The 17,202-nt window shown below is 38.7% G+C and overlaps 1 non-coding gene across 1 annotated transcript, besides 3 other annotated features; it reads right to left on the minus strand.

Moving 5' to 3' along the window:
• Positions 1-1,801: 1,801 nt before the first annotated feature.
• On the minus strand, positions 1,802-1,928 carry SNORA25B (small nucleolar RNA, H/ACA box 25B). The gene has a single exon (NR_145801.1). It is a non-coding gene; the product is annotated as a small nucleolar RNA, H/ACA box 25B (small nucleolar RNA).
• Positions 5,275-6,474: an enhancer, noted in NCBI's record as "P300/CBP strongly-dependent group 1 enhancer chr7:115224842-115226041 (GRCh37/hg19 assembly coordinates)". NCBI's record gives its function as "activates an origin of replication core promoter dependent on BRD2, BRD4, P300/CBP, MED14 and CDK7 cofactors, with strong dependence on P300/CBP, by STARR-seq in HCT116 cells {active_cell/tissue: HCT116}" and the evidence as "EXISTENCE:reporter gene assay evidence [ECO:0000049][PMID:35650434]".
• Positions 5,275-6,519: a biological region, named in NCBI's record as "P300/CBP strongly-dependent group 1 enhancer GRCh37_chr7:115224842-115226041".
• Positions 5,886-6,519: an enhancer, noted in NCBI's record as "H3K27ac-H3K4me1 hESC enhancer chr7:115225453-115226086 (GRCh37/hg19 assembly coordinates)". NCBI's record gives its function as "activates a minimal SCP1, AML or CMV promoter by ChIP-STARR-seq in naive H9 embryonic stem cells {active_cell/tissue: H9 hESC(naive)}" and the evidence as "EXISTENCE:reporter gene assay evidence [ECO:0000049][PMID:30033119]".

A 17,202-nucleotide genomic window follows, 5' to 3' on the forward strand; every position in this document is an offset into this window, starting at 1 on the left:
ATATGAAGAGGAATTGTGCAGAATCTATAAAACTATAGCCTTCTTCAGCCAGAATTTTGTTGTTCATTTGAGACTTCTAGGAAACATAGTTTGGGTTTTTAAAAATATTTTCTTAGGGAAAAATAATATAAAAAGAAAATAGAGTAACAATTTTAATAAAAATATAAACCATAAAGTAAATAGATAGCTATGTACTGTGTTTTAAAAGTTAATCGATACTAAATTCAAAAGCATAAAAAAGAAGCTGTCCCCCAATTACAGAATTCCACACTCAAATTGCTTAAAAAATACTTCTGAGTAAATGAAGATGCTTGTTCCTTCCAGAATCCTCACTGCAGCCCCTCAGCTTTTATCAGAAAACTTGAACACCTATTAACTCTTCTCTTCCTCTATCTGCACCCTCTGATACTCTTTAGATTTTTTTCCCGTCAGCATTTAAACACATTCAGTGTTTCCCACTATAATCAAAAGCCCTCCTCCAACACATTTATCTCCTATCTTCTAATTTTTCTCTCCCCTCCAAAATTATGTCAAAATTTTACAAAATTGGTTACACATTCTTTCTCCATTGTTCTCACCTTTTACTACCATGCCCTCTTTAACTTGAAATACATTAATTTTGTAATATTTCTACAATGACCTCTGTGGTAGGTTGAATAATACCCCCTCTCCAAATGCCCATGTTCTAATTCTGAGATTCTGTTAATATGTTACCTTAAATGGCAAGAGGGACTTTGCAAATATGATTAAATTTAATGATCTTAAGATGGGGAGGATAGTCTGGATTATGCAGGTGGGTCAAACGATGTAATCACATGTGGCCTTAAAATAGGCAGAGGGAAAAGCTGCTACAGGAGAGTAGCAGGAGATATGACATAAGAAAGAGGTTGGGGCCGGGTGCTGTGGCTTACAGTAACCCCAGCACTTTGGGAGGCCAAGCGGGGAGTATCGCTTGAGCCCAGGATTTCAAGCCAAGCTTGGGCAACATAATCAGACCTCATCTCTGAAAAAAAAAAAAAAAAAGAAAGAAAAAATTAGCCAGGCAGGGCGGAGCACACCAGTTTTCCCAGCTAGTTGGGAGGCTGAGATAGAAGGACTGCTTGAGCCCAGGAGGTTGAAGCTTCAGTGAGCCATGATCATGCCACTTCATTTCAGCCTGGGCAGCAGAGTGAGACCCTGTCTCAGGAAAAAAAAAAAAAAAAAAAAAGAGGTGGTAGTGATTTGAGGAAAGTCAGGAGCCAAAAATTGCAGCCAATCTTTCGAAGCTAGAAAAGGCGAATAAATGAAGAAACGACAGGTGTGCTAAAATCTCAGAATTTACCACTATGGAATTCATCCATGTATTTCAAAACCACTTATACCCCAAAAGCTATTAAAATAAAAATATATATATTTTTAAAGCTAGTAAAGGCAAAGAAACAGATTCTCCCCTAGATACTTCAGAAGGAGTCTGCCCTGCCAACACCTTTACTTCAATCCAGTAAAGCTGATTCCAGACTTCTGGTCTCCAGAACTGTAAGTGAATAAATTTGTGTTGTTTTAAGCTGCCAAATATGTGCTAATTTATTACAGCAGCAATAGGAAGATAATACAGCCCCATACAGTAAGTCAAATGGAGGACAACTCCTAGTCTTCCCTTAGTTTTCACTAGCAACCTCTTAGCTCTTTAAATACACTAGGCTTTTTATTAGATCTTTGGCTGATTCTTCTCAGACTTCTTTGCTTACTCCTCCCTTTCTACCAAAATAGTACATGTTAGAGTTTCTTGAGACTCAGTCTATTTTTTTTTTCTTTTTCCAAGTCTTATATCTCCTCAGGAAAACACAGCACCACTGAGTGCTTTGGCAACCTATAGAGAACTTCAATCTTTGGTCACAGCATTAAGAGCTCTTGGTTTCATAGTCCCATGAGCCCTCTTTAAAATGGCCTAAAGACTCCATCTAAAACCACACCATTTTTCACTCTCTAAGCAATCATATCTACTCTGAAATCTCTTGAAAGCCATATCTCAAGCCCATCTGCTTGGCTACAAGTATATACACCTGCTTACTTTAGTTCCCTACTCAATTATCACACAGACATCCCAAATTTAATGTATCTACAACTGAACACATTCCTTTCCTTCAAGCTTGTTTTATTTCCAGTATTAATAATCTCAACAAAAGGTACCACCAGGTTTTCTAATCAAAAACTTGGGATTTATTATATATGTCCCCTTTCCTCCCCTACCATATACAGTCAACTACCAAGTCTGATCAAGTCTGCCACCTAAATGCCTATTATTGCCAATATCAATGAAACTAATCTAGTTCAAATCACAATCTCAGATATGACTAAATGAATGCAGTGGTCTTATGACATACCCACCCCCAACAGTGCACAATGTAGCAACACTAATTCAGTTATTTTCAACCCCCCCCCACATACAGAGCCATTCCCCCACATAATAGGCACAGTGATATTTAAACACACACACAGTCACACACACAAATCCTATATTACCACGGACTTGCTTAACACTCTTTGCTCTTCAGAAATAATGTGATTCAGGAAATCTTTCCTTTAGACTTTGGTCCCTGCCTCATTCTTTACTTTCATTTCTCACTATTCTATGCATTTCTCTTAAATCACCTTCATGGTCCCCTTCTTTTAGATCATTGTACTTTTCATTTTCTTTTTTCACAATTCAGGATCATGGAACTCTGAAAGTCTCTTTTGTGTAGAATTCCTTCCCCACCATCCCCTTGTTTTGCCCATCTTATTACCTAACTAGGTCTTATTCATGCTTCGTTCTCCTCTAAAACGTCAGGGATGCATTCTCTGATATCCTCTCCAAAACCAGGTTAGAGTTTCCTGCTATGTGCTTCCAAATTAAACTACACTTTGACTTCAAAATGCATATTGTATTTAAATATACTTAATAAACATTGTCTTCTCTCAGTAGATATTTTTTTCCTTTTTAAGCAGCATTATAAAAGTATAAATGAGGTACAATAAATTGCCATATTAAAAGTATAAAATTTCTTAAGTTTTCACATATATGGATACAGCCATGAAACCATCATAACAATAAAGATAGTGAACACATTCATAACCCCAAAGTTTCCTCTTGCCCCTTTGTTCTAACAAAGTCATACCATATTTGTCTTGTTCCTAATGTTCCTGGCACACAGTGGCACTCAAAATATATTTGATAAGTGAATTAAATAGCAAAATTGTTCATCAAAGGATTATAAGCACCAAAAGCAATGTGTCTTTGTTTTTGCAACTTTTGTAAAATAATGCAAACCTATGCATCACTGAAAATTATGCTTTATGAGAATGATAAATTTTATTTTAATAAATTCAAGTAGAAAAATCAGATTAAACGGATTTATAAAACATGACTCTGAACACATATATTTACGTAGATTTATTTATGTGTAGCTAGAAAAGATAATGGACACTGACACAAAAACTAGCAATGGAGAAATTGCAGGTGATTTTAATTTTCTTCTTTGTGCTTCTCTGAAACTTTTAAAGACCATGTGTCATAATATGTTGAATGGGACCTTTCCTGCATTTTAAAATTTTGGCTAAAGCCCCATGCTGTGGACAACAAGTAGTAAGTATTTCCACATTCTAATCAAAACAGCCAAAAAGCTGTCAGATTCCCTTCTCTTGAGTTTGCTAAGAGGTAGCCAAATTGGTCTTTCTGCTGTCATACTCAACATTCTATCCAGTGTACAAAAGCTAACATCCTAATTTTGTTGAAGGGGAAAGTTGGCAGAAAGTGAGCCATTCTAGTTTATTTTCCACCCCATCCCGTATCTGAAAGAAAGGCAAAGGATGCCATTCCTTTAAGTGATTATTATACTCCAAAAAGAACTACTTTTAGAGATTAAGGATGGCATAAGAACTGGCATTGTTAACCCTGGCTGGATGCTTGCTGAGCTGCATTTGTGCACAGGCTCACATATGCTGCCACCTGAGTGGAGTATGGTAAGAAAAGTCTTAGGAGCTTCAGCCTGTATCCTTTGGAATTTTAGAGTTACTGTCTTGCAATTTTTTTCAAGGCAGAAGTTTGACCACAGAGAGGGCAGCAAGAGTCAGCCCACTTTCAGAAAAGATACACTAGTTTCCTATGTGGGAAGTGGATACTACTAAGGGAGGAGACCACCCCTCACATTGTCTTATGCCTAATTTCTGCCTCCAAAGAAAGAAAAAGTGAAAACTAAAAGGCAGAAACGAAATCCACAGGCAGACAGCCTGGCGCTGCACCCTGGGCCTGGTAGTTAAAGATCGACCCCTGACCTAATCGGTTATGTTATCTATAGATTACAGACATTGTATAGAAATGGACTGTGAAAATCCCTATCCTGTTTTGTTCCGATCTAATTACCGGTGCATGCAGCCCCGAGTCACATACCCCCCGCTTTCTCAATCATGACCTTCTCACACGCTCGGCTCTTGAGACAGGAGTCTTGCCGATACCCTCAGCCGAATAAAACCCTTCCTTCTTTAACTCGGTGTCTGAGGAGTTTTGTCTGCAACTTGTTCTGCTACACAACAAAAAGTGGCAAGCTCAAGCATCTCCATGTGGCTTTCTTGGATTAAAAGGGCTTTCTGCCGTGGCAGGGGAACACTGGCAGTAATGAGTGGTGAGATGAACTGATGTGGGCAAGAGCTGAGTTGCTAACTAGAGAGTGATGCAATACAGTTGTTCAATGGGGACCCAAAAGAGCCCATCTGTGCTCCATGGACAATTCAGCATTTAGCATGTGAGCCCCTCACAGGGTATTGAGGACTAAAAGAGAACAAAATGAGCATCAATTAAACCTGTTTTTTCCTTTTTACACAATTCCGCACATGACCCCTTCTGCCTTGACCTTGGAAGACTCAGAAGATGATAAATTGAGGATGACTAGGTGGAGATATAGAACACAGTGAGGTAGGCAGTACAGTTCCTTTCTATGGACGGGGCTTAAGGCCCACAGGCCTGGCAGTTCTCCGGTGTCTTTCGATCCCACACGTTCTGCTGTTGAACTCATCAGGTGGATGGGAGGCAGGACTAGATTGAAGCTCCAAACAGAGCAGCTTGCGAAAGTTCGCATTGTGAATTGTAGCTCCAGACTGACTGCAGGAACAAACCAGCAATCCCGAGAGGACCCACAGACCCTCTGAAGGAAGTGTACTACTCCTGTAGGACCCAGGAGACACCCCAAATACTGTGAGTGCCCCAACTGTAGAAGTGGGAAAGGAAGACCCTGCTCCCCCAAACACACACCTCCATTGGAGAAGTTGAAAGTCTTGTTTGTGGGAGAAGTTTCTGACTTTACCTGGAGCTGAGTCAATTTAGAGAGCCAAGCGAAATATAGGGTAGAGGAAGTAGCAGAAAGGCCCTGGGAGCTCACTGTGCCCCGAGTAGGCCATTCCTGCCTGGCATCCCAGGGATCCATTCGGAGGGTGACCAGAGGAGCAGGGGGTAAAACTCCACAGGGAGAAGGAAATCTCTAGCTGAACTTTGTAACAATTTGAAGAGGGTGAGAAGCCTCCTGGCCAGAACTCCAGGGAGGGTGAAAATCCAGTGTGTGGACTCCACAGATGGGGGAAGAACCAAGCCCTTTTCTTTCACAGCTGGGAGGCAGGTAGCCCAGGGCAAATTTTCAAGCCCGACATGCCTTCCACCTGGAAACAGACTGGGGGTTGTTGGGGTGTGCATGATGGGGGTGAGACTGGCCCTTCAGTTTGCGTGGGAGCTGTGTGAGGCCTGTGACTGCTGGCTTTCCCCCACTTCCCTGACAACTGCATGACTCAGCAGAGGCAGCCACAATCCTCCTAGGTACACAACTCCAGTGACCTGGGAATCTCACCCCCATCCCCCACAGCAGCTGCAGCAAGACCTGCCCAAGGAGAGTCTGAGCTCAGACATGCCTAGGCCTGCCCCCACCTGATGGTTCTTCCCTACCCATCCTGGTAGCTGAAGACAAAACGCATATAATCTTGGGAGTTCTAGGGCCCAACCCACCACCAGTCCCTCTCCACACTACTAGAGCTGATGCTTTCTGGAAAGCATCACCTCCTGGCAGGAGGCCAACCAGCACTAAAATAGACCATTAAAGCACCAAAGCTGAGGACCCCCATGGAGTCCATTGCATTCCCCTCAACCATCTTCACTGGAACAGGCGCTGGTATCCACAGCTGAGAGACCCGTAGAAGGTTCACATCACAGGATTCTGTGCAGACAACCCCCAGTACCAACCCAGAGCTGGGCAGACTGGCTGGGTGGCTAGACTCAGAAGAGAGACAACAATCACTGCAGTTCGGCTCACAGGAAGCCACATCCAAAGGAAAAGGGGAAGAGCACTACATAAACGGAACACCCCATGGGACAAAAGAATCTGAACAACAGCCTTCAGCTCTAAACCTTCCCTCTGATGGAGCCTACCCAAATAAGAAGAAACCAGAAAACCAACCCTGGTAATATGACAAAACAAGGCTCTTTGACACCCTCAAAAAATTACACTAGTTCCCCAGCAATGGATCCAAGCCAAGAAGAAATCTGTGATATAACTAAAAAAGAATTAGGGAGGTTAGTTATTAAGTTAATCAGGAAGGGACCAGAGAAAGGTGAAGGCCATTGTAAGGAAATCCAAAAAATGATACAAGAAGTGAAGGGAGAAATATTCAAGGAAACAGATAGCTTTAAAAAATCAAAAATTCAGGAGACTTTGGACACACTTTTAGAAAGCCTCAGCAATAGAACTGAACAAGTAGAAAGAAATTCAGAGCTTGAAGACAAGGTCTTCTAATTAACTCAAACTAACAAATACAAAGAAAAAAGAATAAGAAGATATGAACAAAGTCTCCAAGAAGTCTGGGATTATGTTAAATGACCAAACTTAAGAATAATCCATGTTCCTGAGGAAGAAGGGAACTCTAAAAGCTTGGAAAACATTCAGGGGAATAATCAAGAAAAACTTCCCTGGCCTTGCTAGACACCTATACATCCAAATACAAGAAGCACAAAGAACACCTGGAAAATTCATTGCACAAAGATCTTTGCCTGGGTGTATTGTCATCAGGTTACCCAAAATTAAGACAAAGGAAAGAATCTGAAGAACTGTGAGACAGAAGCACCAGGCAATGTATAAAGGAAAACCTATCAGATTAATAACAGATTTCTTAACAGAAACCCTACAAGCTAGAAGGGATTGGGGCCTTATCTTCTGCCTCCTCAAACAAAACCATTATCAGCCAAGAATTTTGTATCCAGTGAAACTAAGCATCATATATGAAGGAAAGATACAGTCATTTTCAGAAAGATGCTGAGAGAATTTGCCATTACCAAGCCACCAGTACAAGAACTGCTAAAAGGAGCTCTAAATCTTTAAACGAGTCCTGGAAACACATCAAAACAGAACCTCTTTAAAGCATCAATCCCACACCTATAAAACAAAAATACATATTAAAAAGCAAAAACAAAACAAAACAAAAAACAAAAGTACACAGACAACAAAAAGCAAAATGAATGCAACCTCACATTTCAATATTAACATTAAATGTGAATGGCCTAAATGCTCCACTTAAAAGATTCAGAACCGCAGAATGGATAAGAACTCACCAACCAAATATCTACTGCCTTCAGGAGACCTACCTAACACATAAGGACTCACATAAACTTAAAGTAAAGGGGTGGAAAGAGGCATTTCATGCAAATGGACACCAAAAGTGAGCAGGGGTAGCTATTCTTATATCAGACAAAACAAATTTTAAAGCAACAGCAGTTAAAAGAGACAAAGAGGGACATTATATAATGGTAAAAGGCCTTGTCCAACAGGAAACTATCACAATCCTAAACATATACATGCCTAACAATGGAGTACCCAAATTTATAAAAACAATTACTAATAGACCTAAGAAATGAGATAGACAGCAACACAATAATAGTGGGGGACTTCAATACTCCACTGACAGCACTAGACAGGTCCTCAAGACAGAAAGTCAACAAAGGAACAATGGATTTAAACTACACCTTGGAACAAATGGACTTAACAGATATATACAGAAAATTTCATCCAACAACTGCAGAATACACTTTCTATTCAACAGTGTATGGAACTTTCTCCAAGATAGACCATATAATAGGCCATAAAATGAGCCTCAATACATTTAAGAAAATTGATATTATATCAAGCACTCTCTCAGACCACAGTGCTCCTGAATGAGCATTGGGTCAAAAACAAAATCAAGATGGAAATTAAAACATTCTTCAAACTGAATGTCAATAATGACACAACCTATCAAAACCTCTGGGTTATAGCAAAGGCAATGCTAAGAGGAAAGTTCATAGCCTTAAGCATCTACATCCAAAAAACTGAAAGAACACAAGCTGACATTCTAAGGTCACACCTCAAGGAACTAGAAAAACAAGAACAAAACAAACCCAAACCCAGCAGAAGAAAAGAAATAACCAAGATCAGAGCAGAATTAAATGAAATTTAAACCAAACAAAAAAAAGATAAATAAAACAAAAAACTGTTTTTTTGAAAAGATAAATAAAATTGGTAGATCTTAGCAAGATTAACCAAGAAAAGAAGAGAAAAAATGCAAAATGCAAAATTCAAGTGACCTCACTAAAAAACAAAACAGAAGATATTACAACTGACAGCGCTGAAATACAAAAGATCATTCAAGACTACTATGAACACCTTTATGCACATAAAATAGAAAACCTAAAAGAGATGGATGAATTCCTGGAAAAATACAACCCTTCTAACTTAAATCAATAAGAATTAGATACCCTGAACAGACTAATAACAGGCAGCAAGATTGAAATGGTAATTAAAAAATTACCAACAAAAAAGTCCAAGATCAGACGATTCACAGAAGAATGCTACCAGACATTCAAAGAAGAATTAGTACCAATGCTCTTGACGTTATTTCACAAGAGAGAAAGAAGGAACTCTCCCTAATTCATTTAATGAACCTAGCATCACCCTAATACCAAAACCAGGCAAGGACATAACTGTAAAGAAAACTACAGACCAATATCCTTGATGAATATTGATACTAAAATTCTTAACAAAACACTAGCTAACCAAATCCAACAACATATGAAAAAGATAATCCACCATGATCAAGTGTGTTTCATACTAGGGATGCAGAGATGGTTTAACACATGCAAGTAAATAAATGTGATACACCACATAAACAGCATTAAAAACAAAAATCACATGATCATCTCAGTAGATGCAGAAAAAGCATTTGACAAAATCCAGTATCCCTTTATGATTAAAACTCTCTGTAAAATTGGCACAAGGGACATACCTTAATTTAATAAAAGCCATCTATGACAAACCCTCAGCCGACATAATACCGAATGTGGAAAAGTTGAAAGCATTCCCTATGATAACTGGAAAAACACAAGGATGCCCACTCTGACCACTCCTCTTCAGCATAGTAATGGAAGTCCTAGCCGGAGCAATCAGACAAGAGAAAGAAATAAAGGGCAACCAAATTGGTAAAGAGGAAGTCAAACTGTCACTGTTTGCTGATGATATGATTGCTTATCCTGAAAACCCTCAGGACTCCTCCAGAAAGCTCCTAGAACTGATAAAAGAATTCAGCAAAGTTTCCGATACAAGATTAATGTACACAAATCAGTAGCTCTTCTATACACAAATAGCAATCAAGCAGAGAATCAAATCAAGAACTCAACCCCTTTTACAATAGCTGCAAAAAAATAAAATACTTAGGAATATACCTAACCAAGGAGTCAAAAGACCTCTACAAGGAAAACTATAAAACACTGCTGAAAGAAATCATGATCGACACAAACAAATGGAAACACATCCCATGCTCATGGATGAGTAGAATCAATATTGTGAAAATGACCATACTACCATACTGCCAAAACCAATCTAAAAATTCAACACAATCCCCATCAACATACCACCATCATTCTTCAAAGAGTTAGAAAAAACAATTCTAAAATTCATATGGAACCAAAAAAGAGCCTGCATAGCCAAAGCAAGACTAAGTAAAAATAACGAATCTGGAGGCATCACACTACCTGATTTCAAACTGTGCTATAAGGCCATAGTCACCAAAACAGCGTGGTACTGGTATAAAAATAGGCATATAGACCAATAGAACAGAACAGAGAACCCAGAAATAAACTCAAATACTTACAGCCAACTGATCTTCAAAAAAGCAAACAAAAACATAAAGTGGGAAAAGGACACCCTTTTCAACAAATGGTTCTGGGATAATTGGCTAGCCACATGTAGGAGAATGAAACTAGATCCTCATCTCTCACCTTATACAAAAATCAACTCAAGATGGATTAAAGACTTAAACCTAAGACCTGCAACTATGAAAATTCTAGAAGGTAACATTGGAAAAACCCTCCTAGACATTGATTTAGGCAAGGATTTTATGACCAAGAACCCAAAAGCAAATGCAATAAAAACAAAGAGAAATAGCTGGGACCTAATTAAACTAAAGACCTTTTTCACGGCAAAAGGAACAGTCATCAGAGTAAACAGACAACCCACAGAGTGGGAAAAAATCTTCACAATCTATAGATCTGACAAAGGACTAATATCCAGAATCTACAACGAACTCAAACAAATCAGTAAGGAAAAAATGAACAACCCAATCAAAAAGTGGTCTAAGGACATGAATAGACAATTCTCAAAAGAATATATACAAATGGCCAACAAACATATGAAAAAATGCTCAACATAACTAATGATCAGGGAAATGCAAATCAAAACCACAATGTGATACCACCTTATTCCTGCAAGAATGGTCGTAATCAAAAAATCAAAAAACAGTAGATATTGGTATGGATGCAGTGAACAGAGAACACTTCTACACTGCTGGTAGGAATGTAAACTAGTACAGCTGCTATGGAAAACAGTCTGGAGATTCCTTAAAGAACAATTTGATCCAGCAATCCCACTACTGGTTATCTACCCAGAGGAAAAGAAGTCATTATTTGAAAAAGATACTTGCACATGCATGTTTATAGTGGCACAATTCACAATAGCAAAATCATGGAACCAACCCAAATGCCCATCAATCAACAAGTGGGTAAAGAAACTGTGATTTTATATATATAAACTGTGGTTATTTACATATATATATAAACTGTGATTATACATATATATTATATATAAATATATACATATATATATATATATATATATATATGATGGAATACTATGCAGCCATAAAAAGGAATGAATTAACAGCATTTGCAGTGATCTGGATGACATCGGAGACTATTATTTCAAGTGAAGTAACTCAGGAATGGAAAACCAAACATCGTATGTCCTCACTGATATGTGGGAGCTCAACTATGAGGATGCAAAGGCATAAGAATGATACAAGGGACTTTGGGGACTTGGGGGAGGAAGAGTGGGACGGAGCAAGGGATAAAAGACTAAAAATGTGGTGCAGTGTATACTGCTTAGGTGATGGGTGCACCAAAATCTCACAAATCACCATTAAAGAACTTACTCATATAACCAAATACCACCTGTACCCCAATAGCTTATGGGAAATAAGTTTGCACTCTTGTTTCCACATATTTTTTAGTCTCCCCAAATTTCTTGCTATCACTGATATCTAATTTTCTTCCATTTTTATTGGATAACTTAATTTGTATTATACAATTTTTTCATTTATTGAAAACAATAACAACAACAAAGAACACAGTGAGGTAACAGACCATGCTTCCCTTCTTTGTGGTCCAGCCAATGAGTCAGACTTGATTCTAGAGAATGGGAGAAGACTTAAGCTGGGTGCAATATTGAATTGTTTACATTTATTTGGGCTAAACCTATTTAAAGGTCACATTGAGGCTTAGTTGCCAAGGTAAGACTGTTCTTACAATGACCAGAAAGCCATGGTGTCTGTTGACAGTGTGACCCTTTAGTGCAGACAGAGACTTTAACCGCATGGTCCAAGGCACTTAGTGTAGATTATTACGTGCATTTCTTGTTTACATCGCCATTGAGTTTAGCCATTCTGCTATCCAATTATACATGTGTTAAACTTATGTTATTTTTAACTCATAAAGAACAAATTATCAGAAGCCTCATTACAAAGCAATTCTCAGGGGTGACGTTATAAAATTAAGGCATGGGTAAAAGTGTTATATCAATATACTTTCATAGAACATCAATACTAGTTACCTTCTCCTTCTAGATGTGGGCATCTGAGCTTGACCATAGTGATTGAGGATGACAGAGCTTTCTGAAGTTTTCTAGGCAGCATAGGCTTCTAAGAATATGTATGAATCAAGAGCAGGGAAAGAGTACCTCAAAATATGACTAACTTAAGAGGATAGGATCCAATACAAAATGTGTTTGATTTCTATAATGAAAATAAGCAACATATATGCATATTTTAAGCACAATGTTTTATGATGCTCTTTTCTACAGTTATATGAATTCAGTGGAATGCAAATATTTGACCACAAAACAAGTTCTGCTTTTATGATTTTCTTAGGATAGAATCTAGAATTGGAAATAATAGGCAAACTGTTGTAAATAATGCTAAGCATCTTAATGTATATTGCTAGATTATTTTCTAAAGCTCAAAAGGAATTATAACCTCTTAGCATGTATTGAGTATTGACAACCTTTTCAAAATTGCTAACTTACTAAACAAGAGTATCTTATTAAACTTTGCACTTATTTATTCTACTGTCCTTGAATGGTTCATTGTCCTCATTACCATTTGTATTTATTGATACATTATTGTGATGTATCTATTTACATATTTTGCCCTTTTATGCTGTCAGGTTTTAGTGTCATTTTTTTCTATTACTGATAAATTTAAAGGTACTTAAGATTTCTGTTAAATGTGGTTAATATAGTTGTATCAAAAGATGTTTCATTAATTTTTTATGCAATAGTCACATAAGTTCAATTAATAAAGAAGCTTCATCCATTCATGTATTCAATAAACTTAATCATTCGTCAACTCTAGTGCTACGTAAAACAAGGAGCCATTCCCCAAGATGCTTATCAGAGAGAAGAGTTTGGCAAGTACCATAAAAGCAACCCAGGTTACATGTAGTAGTTTATATTAGTCTGCTTGGGCTGCCATAACAAATCCCTCAGACTGAATGGTTTATGTAATAAAAACTGAAATTTATATTCTCACAGTTCTGGAGACTGGAAAACCAAATTCAAGGTGATGGCAGGGTTGGTATCCAGTGAAAGTTCTTCCTTTGTGTGGCAGATAGCCACCTCCTCACTAAGTACCCATAAGACCTTTCCTAGGGTTATGCATACACAGGGAGAAAAAGAGAGAGAGAGAGAGAGCTCTGATGTCTCTTACAAGGATAATACTCCTATCAGATTAGGGCCCCACCCTTATGAAATAATTTACTTTTTTCCTCTGAATACAGCTGCACTTGGAGTTAGGGGTTTCAACACAGAAATTTGAGGTAGAGGGGAAGCACAGACATTCAGCCCATAACATACTTTGAGTTATTCTATCTTGGAGATGGTAAGAAAAATAGGAAATGTACTCATTTATTCATTCAGTGAACATTTATTGAGTGCCTAGTTCATACCTGGCACAATGCTTAATGTTAGTAATAGTAGCTATTTTCCTGGAGGAGATAATAATCAAATGAAGAAAAAGAAGATATAAATCACAATGCAGTTTGCTATAATATATCCACCACAAAGACTCTGAAAACACAAAAGAGGGAACAGATAAATATGTCTGTGGGAGTTGGGAAAGATAACACAGAAAAGCAAACATTTATTTGGGTCTTAAATGTTGGGTAGGATTGTGTAATGCAAAGAGAAAAAACAGTTGTATCATGATCATGACGAGAATGGTTGCTCAGGCAATGTTTTGTGTTTGAGTCTTCACTTCTGAGTTGCAGATTTTTCTAAGAGTACTTTCTGAGTGGTGTGTTTGGAGCTTTGGATATACGTCTCACTCTGTCCTCACCTTCCTCTCACTAAAATTCTGAGAGTAAAAGAATGGAAAGTAAGGGAAATCTGGCTATTGTTCTTGTCTTTCAAAGTTGGTGTTATCTGCAGTGCCCTCAAGCAAAACATTTCACTGTCATGTCATTTGGATATTGGTTTCAAGAAAAAGCACCTTTCACAGTGGTTAGGTTCTAAAGTCAACGTAGACATAAAGTGTGCTTATGATGGAAGCACACAAATCCTAACCAGCCATATAACTTTGTCTATGTCAAGAAACAATGTTTATCCTCCACTTGAATAACTCTTTCCATAAAAGGTGAATATCTAGATTTAGATAGCCTAATAAGATTACTTTCGGTCCCTTCCAAGATGGCCTAATAGGAACAGCTCCGGCCTGCAGTTCCCAGCATGATCAACACAGAAGATGGGTGATTTCTGCATTTTCAACTGAGGTACCTGGCTTATCTCATTGGGACTGGTTGGACAGTGGGTGCAGCCCACAGAGGGCTAGACAAAGCAGGGTGGGGTGTCGCCTCACCTGGGAAGTTCAAGGGGTCAGGGGATTTCCATTTCCTAGCCAAGGGAAGTCATGACAGGCTGTACCTGGAAAAATGGGACATGTCCACCCAAATGCTGCACTTTTCCCACAGTCTTAGCAACTGGCAGACCGGGAGATTCTCTCCCATGCCTAGGTGGCAGGTCCAACGCCCATGGAGCCTTGCTCACTGCTAGCACAGCAGTCTAAGATCGACCTGTGAGGCTGCAGCCTGGTGGGGGGAAGGGCATCCACCATTGCTAAGGCTTAAGAAGGTAAAGAAAGCAGCCAGGAAGCTCAAACTGGGCAGAGCCCACCACAGCTCAGTAAGGCCTACTGCCTCTATAGACTCCACCTCTGGGGGTAAGGCATAGCTGAACAGCAATATTTGCTATTCAGCAATATTTGCTGTTCTGCAGCCTCCACTGGTGATACCCAGGCAAACAGGGACTGGAGTGGACCTCCAGCAAACTCCAACAGACTAGCAGCTGAGGGAACTGACTGTATGAAGGAAAACTAACAAACAGAAAGGAATCGCATCAACATCAAAAAAAGAACATCCACACCAAAACCCCATCTCTAGGTCACCAATGTCAAAGACCAAAGTAGATAAAACCACAAAGATGGGGAGAAACCAGAGCAGAAAAGCTGAAAATTCTAAAAATTGGAGTGCCTCTTCTCCTCCAAAGGATCACAGCTCCTTGCCAGCTATGGAACAAAGCTGGATGGAGAATGACTTTGATGAGTTCACAGAAGTAGGCTTCAGAAGGTCGGTAATAACAAACTTCTCTGAGCTAAAGGAGCATGTTCTAACCTATTGTAAGGAAGCTAAAAACGTTGAAAAAAGGTTAGACAAATAATAGCTAACTAGAATAAACAGTGTAAAGATGACCTTAAATAACCTGATGGATCTGAAAAACGTAGCACAGAACTTCGTGACACATGCACAAGATTCAATAGCAAATTCAATCAAGTGGAAGAAAGGATATCAGTGATTGAAGACCAAATTAATGAAATAATGCCAGAAGATATGATTAGAGAAAAAAGAGTAAAAAGAAATGAACAAAGACTCCAAGAAGTATGAGACTATGTGAAAAGACAAAAATCTACATTTGATTGATATACCTGAAAGTGTTGGGGAGAATGGAATCAAGTTGGAAAAGACTCTTCGGGATATTATCCACAAGAACTTCCCTAACCTAGCATGGCAGGCCAACATTCAAATTCAGGAAATACAGAGAACACCACAAAGATGCTCGTTGAGAAGAGCAACCCCAAGACACATAATCATCAGATTCACCAAGGTTGAAATGAAGGAAAAAATTTTGAGGGCAGCCAGAGAGAGATTGGGTTACCTACAAGGGTAAGCCCATCAGACTAACAGCGGATCTCTCAGCAGAAACCCTACAAGCCAGAAGAGAGTGGGGGCCAATATTCAACATTCTTAAAGAAAAGAATTTTGAATCTAGAATTTCATATCCAGCCAAACTAAGCATCAAAAGTGAAGGAGAAATAAAACCCTTTACAGACAAGAAAATGTGGGGATATTTTGTCACCAAGAGGCCTGCCTTACAAGAGCTCCTGAAGGAGGCACTAAACTTGGAAAGGAACAACCAGTACCAGCCACTGCAAAAACATGCCAAATTGTAAAGGCCATTGATGCTATGAAGAAACTGCATCAATTAATGGGCAAAATAACCAGATAACATAATAATGACAGGATCAAATTCACACATAACAATATTAACCTTAAATGTAAATGGGCTAAATGCCCCAATTAAAAGACACAGACTGGCAAATTGGATAAAGAGTCAAGACCCATCAGTGTGCTGTATTCAGGAGACCCATCTCATGTGCAAAGACACACATAGGCTCAAAATAAAGGGATGGAGGGAGATCTACCAAGCAAATGGAAAGCAAAAAAAAAAAAAGCAAGGGTTGCAATCTTAGTCTCTGATAAAACAGACTTTAAACCAACAAAGATCAAAAAAGACAAGGCCATTACATAATGGTAAAGACATCAATTCAACAAGAAGAGCTAACTATCCTAAATATATATGCACCCAATACAGGAGCGCCCAGATTCATAAAGCAAGTCCTTAGAGACCTAAAAAGAGACTTAGATTCCCACACAATAATAATGGGAGACTTTAACACCCCACTGTCAATATTAGTTCAATGAGACAGAAGGTTAACAAGGATATCTAGGACTTGAACTCAGCTCTGCACCAAGTGGAATGAATAGATATCTACAGAATTCTCCACCCCAAATCAAAAGAATATACATTCTTCTCAGCACCACATCTCACTTATTCTAAAATTGACCACGTAATTGGAAGTAAAGCACTCCTCAGCAAATGTAAAAAAACAGAAATCACAACAAACTGTCTCTCAGACCACAGTGCCATCAAATTAGAACTCAGGATTAAGAAACTCACCCAAAACCACACAACTACATGGAAACTGAACAACCTGCTCCAGAATGACTACTGGGTAAGTAACGAAATGAAGGCAGAAATAAAGATGTTCTTCGAAACCAATGAGAACAAAGACACAATGTACCAGAATCTCTGGGACACATTTAAAGCAGTGTGTAGAGGAAAATTTATAGCACTAAATGCCCACAGGAGAAAACAGGAAAGATCTAAAATTGACACCCTAACATCACAGTTAAAAGAACTAGAGAAGCAAGAGCAAATGAATTCAAAAGCTAGCAGAAGG

This window comes from Homo sapiens, chromosome 7 (genome assembly GCF_000001405.40).
Source record: "Homo sapiens chromosome 7, GRCh38.p14 Primary Assembly".
In the NCBI taxonomy this organism is placed as follows: domain Eukaryota; kingdom Metazoa; phylum Chordata; class Mammalia; order Primates; family Hominidae; genus Homo; species Homo sapiens.